This window comes from Homo sapiens, chromosome 16, assembly GCF_000001405.40.
Source record: "Homo sapiens chromosome 16, GRCh38.p14 Primary Assembly".
Taxonomy (NCBI): Eukaryota; Metazoa; Chordata; class Mammalia; order Primates; family Hominidae; genus Homo; species Homo sapiens.
Window position 1 is genome coordinate 2,235,985 of NC_000016.10, and position 3,417 is coordinate 2,239,401.

Consider the following 3,417-nt stretch of genomic DNA (forward strand, 5'->3'; position numbering starts at 1 on the left):
GGGTGGGTGGGAGGACCAGGGACGGGGACAGGGAGATCTGGGAGCCTCGGCCTCCACCGCAGGGTGAGCAGGTGGAGCAGCAGCAGGAGATGCTGGGTAGGGAGTGTGGCTGGTCCTACCTGCGCTGCCTTGCTTTCCCTGAAGGGATTCTGCTCAGGGAGGCAGAGTCTAGGCGACCTAATTTCTAGGGGCGAGGACAAGAACACAGCCGCACCGGGATGTGGCTGACCGTCTACCTCCCTCCTAGGGGGCTGGCAGGGGCTTCTGGGACGGTTTTGGGACAGGTCTGGGGCACCAGAACCGGCTCAGGCAGGTCTCCCACCCCTTACCCTGGGGGTCTCCATGGGAATGAAAGCCAGGAGTTCATCAGGCACCCAGCTGAGTCGAGGGGGCGGGACCCAGTGCAGCCCGGCCCCTCCCTGGCCCAGGACCTCAAATACCGGCCCCTGCCTTGGTGCCAGAGCTACTGCCAGAGGGAGTCAGTGCAGTCCTGTGTCGGACACGCCCGCAGCCTGGACCCGGGATCCCCATCCCCCTAGGATCTCTGAGCCTCGGGCCTCTGCACCCACATCCAAGGTGAGTCTCTCGGCTGCCCTGAGCTGGGGCTGGATGGGCCGGACCCTCCATTCCGGCTGCAGCTTCCCGCGCAGTGAGAAGGCAGCGGTCCCTGAGAGCCCAGCAGTGCCCTGGGAGCCTGCAGAACGCAGGGGCGGATTCCGCGTCGCACTGGCCGTCAAGGGGCGGCCGCGGAGGGAAGGGGTGGGTCGGTGGGTCTGACAGCGGGTCTGCGTAGGCGGCAGCGTCTGTCCCTCCCAGCCTCTCGCTCCGCGCCATGGGCGGGCCCCGGGCTCTGCTGGCCGCACTCTGGGCGCTGGAAGCCGCCGGGACCGCCGCGCTTCGCATCGGAGCCTTCAACATTCAGAGCTTCGGTGACAGCAAAGTGTCGGACCCCGCTTGCGGCAGCATCATCGCGAAGGTGGGGCCCGGGCCGGGGCGGGGCGGCGTTTAGGGGTGCTGACCGCGCTGACCCCCGCACCCGCCGCTCCTCCCCAGATCCTGGCTGGCTATGACCTCGCGCTGGTGCAGGAGGTGCGAGACCCAGACCTCAGCGCCGTGTCCGCGCTCATGGAGCAGATCAACAGGTGTGGTGGGCAGGGCCCCTCGTCGCGACCCCCCGCCGGGATCTCGCCCCGGCGCGGCGCCCCGACCCTGAGCGGGCCCCTGTCTCCGCAGCGTGTCCGAGCACGAGTACAGCTTTGTGAGCAGCCAGCCCCTGGGCCGGGACCAGTACAAGGAGATGTACCTGTTCGTGTACAGGTGAGGGGCGGGCCGCAGGGAGGGGCGCGCGGGGCCGCAGGTCGGGGGCTCAGCGGGTCCTCCCCATCTCCTAGGAAAGACGCGGTGTCGGTCGTGGACACCTACCTGTACCCAGACCCCGAGGACGTCTTCAGCCGCGAGCCCTTCGTGGTCAAGTTCTCGGCCCCCGGCACCGGTGAGCGGGCCCCGCCCCTCCCCTCCCGCCGAGCTCTGACGCCCCCACCCCTTCCCGCAGCAGCACAGAACCTGGTGCTGATCCCGCTGCACGCGGCGCCGCATCAAGCCGTGGCGGAGATCGACGCGCTCTACGACGTGTACCTGGACGTGATCGACAAGTGGGGCACCGACGTAAGCCCACCCCTCGGTCCCGGGGTCCCTGCAGGCGCGCCCCGGGGGTCTGGTTCATGAGGGCGGGACCTCGACGGCTCCTGCGGCGGCTCAGACACGGCTCCGCGGCGCCCGCAGGACATGCTGTTCCTGGGCGACTTCAACGCCGACTGCAGCTATGTGCGGGCGCAGGACTGGGCCGCCATCCGTCTGAGGAGCAGTGAGGTCTTCAAGTGGCTCATCCCTGACAGCGCCGACACCACGGTGGGCAACTCAGACTGCGCCTACGACCGCATTGTGGCCTGTGGCGCCCGCCTGCGCCGGAGCCTGAAGCCCCAGTCGGCCACCGTGCACGACTTCCAGGAGGAATTCGGCCTGGACCAGACTCAGGCGAGTGGGCCGTGGGGCGGTGCTGGTCTTGGGTCCCCACCGCCCGGGCGCACGCAGGCAGCAGGGAGGGTCCAGCGCCCAAGGCAGGGCCACCTCAGCTTCCTCCCTGCACCAGGGCTCGTTTCCAAGGACCCTGGAGAGCCCGGCCCACCCCATGTGGAGCTCTGGGCAGGCAGGGTACCTTGCCTTTCCCTCAAAGGGCCAGTGGTGACACCCTCTGCCCCGGCCCCTGCCCCTGCCCCACCGCAGGCAGCAGCAGGGGTGGGCACCCAGGCCTCACCGGCCCCTCCCATCCCTGTGGGTGGGGTGCACTTTTCCCCTGAGGCTCACTCTGTCCCCACAGGCTCTTGCCATCAGCGACCACTTTCCAGTGGAGGTGACCCTCAAGTTCCACCGATGACTCGAGGCCTGGCTGGGGCATGCCACCTGCAGACCCTGGCTCTGAGGAATGGCCCAACAGTGGCCCCTTCAGGGTGGCAGCCACCCTTCAGTGAGGCCCCAAGGCAGAGTCGGCTGGGCGTGGACCAGGGGCCATGGACACGTGATGTGCTGCTCTGTACCTCCGTTCCCCATCTGTGGGACGGGCTGCATCCAGCGACCTCATGGGGTGTTGTGAGCCCCATGAGGGGTGCAGGGGGCACTGCCCGGCAGATGTCTGCTCAATAAATGAGCTGCTCCCGGTCGGGCCCCACAGCTTGGCTCCCAGGCCTCTGTCCTTCCTTAGGACCCAGCCTCAGCTCCTTAGGGGCAGCCATGGCCTGGGCTGCCCACCCCATGTCCTGGTGGGACGTGGCTGCCCCCGGAGCCTGCTGGCCCCAGAAGGCAGCTCAGGGATGCTCCTTGCTCATCCTCTGTGGAAACTACAAACACTCCCAGGAGCCTGTACTGTGAGCACAGCTGGGACAGGGATGGCGCCAACACACCAGCCTCCTGGGCCCTCGGGGCTCTCAGAACAGCTCTCCCCAGGCCCACCCCGCAGCCCCCATTCCAGGGCCCTGCAGGGGCCCCCAGGCACTTGTCTGTCTCAAGAGCCCGGTCTTACCCAGCACTGCAAGGGGAGGCCAGCCCCAGCTAGTCAGCAGCCCTGGAGCTTTTGGAGAGCCTGAGAGCAGTGGGCGGGCTGGACTCCTCCCTGCCCAGGCAGGTGGCTTGGGACTAAGGTCCCGTGCAAAGAACCGCCCAGCTCGCCGTGGCTCAGCCCTTCAAGGCTGCTGCCCTGTGCCTGGGCAAGGACACATTAGGATAGGGAAAAGGCAGGCCCACGGGTCCACTGGGTCACTGACTGGGGCCCGATGAGGTTTCTGGTTTTTGAAACATCACATCTTAGCAAGATGTGGTAACTTGGTCTGAATCGCATGGGAGGAAAAACCTTTGTTTCAAGGG

The 3,417-nt window shown here is 67.4% G+C and overlaps 1 protein-coding gene across 3 annotated transcripts; it reads left to right on the top strand.

Annotated features, from left to right (window-relative positions):
* Nucleotides 1–459: 459 nt before the first annotated feature.
* On the top strand, nucleotides 460–2,727 carry DNASE1L2 (deoxyribonuclease 1 like 2). 3 transcript variants are annotated; one of them, NM_001374.3, is made up of 7 exons: nucleotides 460–576; nucleotides 794–976; nucleotides 1,054–1,142; nucleotides 1,234–1,317; nucleotides 1,392–1,665; nucleotides 1,783–2,034; nucleotides 2,378–2,727. In NM_001374.3, exons 2-7 carry the CDS (start codon nucleotides 833–835, stop codon nucleotides 2,432–2,434), a joined length of 900 nt encoding a protein of 299 aa, NP_001365.1. In that variant the 5' UTR covers nucleotides 460–576; nucleotides 794–832; the 3' UTR covers nucleotides 2,435–2,727. The 3 variants fall into 3 exon arrangements, with proteins under 3 accessions (NP_001365.1, NP_001288609.1, XP_047289640.1); NM_001301680.2 differs by having other exon boundaries at nucleotides 817–976; XM_047433684.1 differs by having other exon boundaries at nucleotides 460–976.

Coding starts and splice junctions, on each gene's coding strand:
- DNASE1L2 (XM_047433684.1), top strand. CDS start 833: ATGGGCGGGCCCCGGGCTCTGCTGGCCGCACTCTGGGCGCTGGAAGCC. Junction 1,143..1,233: donor CTCATGGAGCAGATCAACAG/GTGTGGTGGGCA, acceptor CTGTCTCCGCAG/CGTGTCCGAGCACGAGTACA. Junction 2,035..2,377: donor TCGGCCTGGACCAGACTCAG/GCGAGTGGGCCG, acceptor CTGTCCCCACAG/GCTCTTGCCATCAGCGACCA.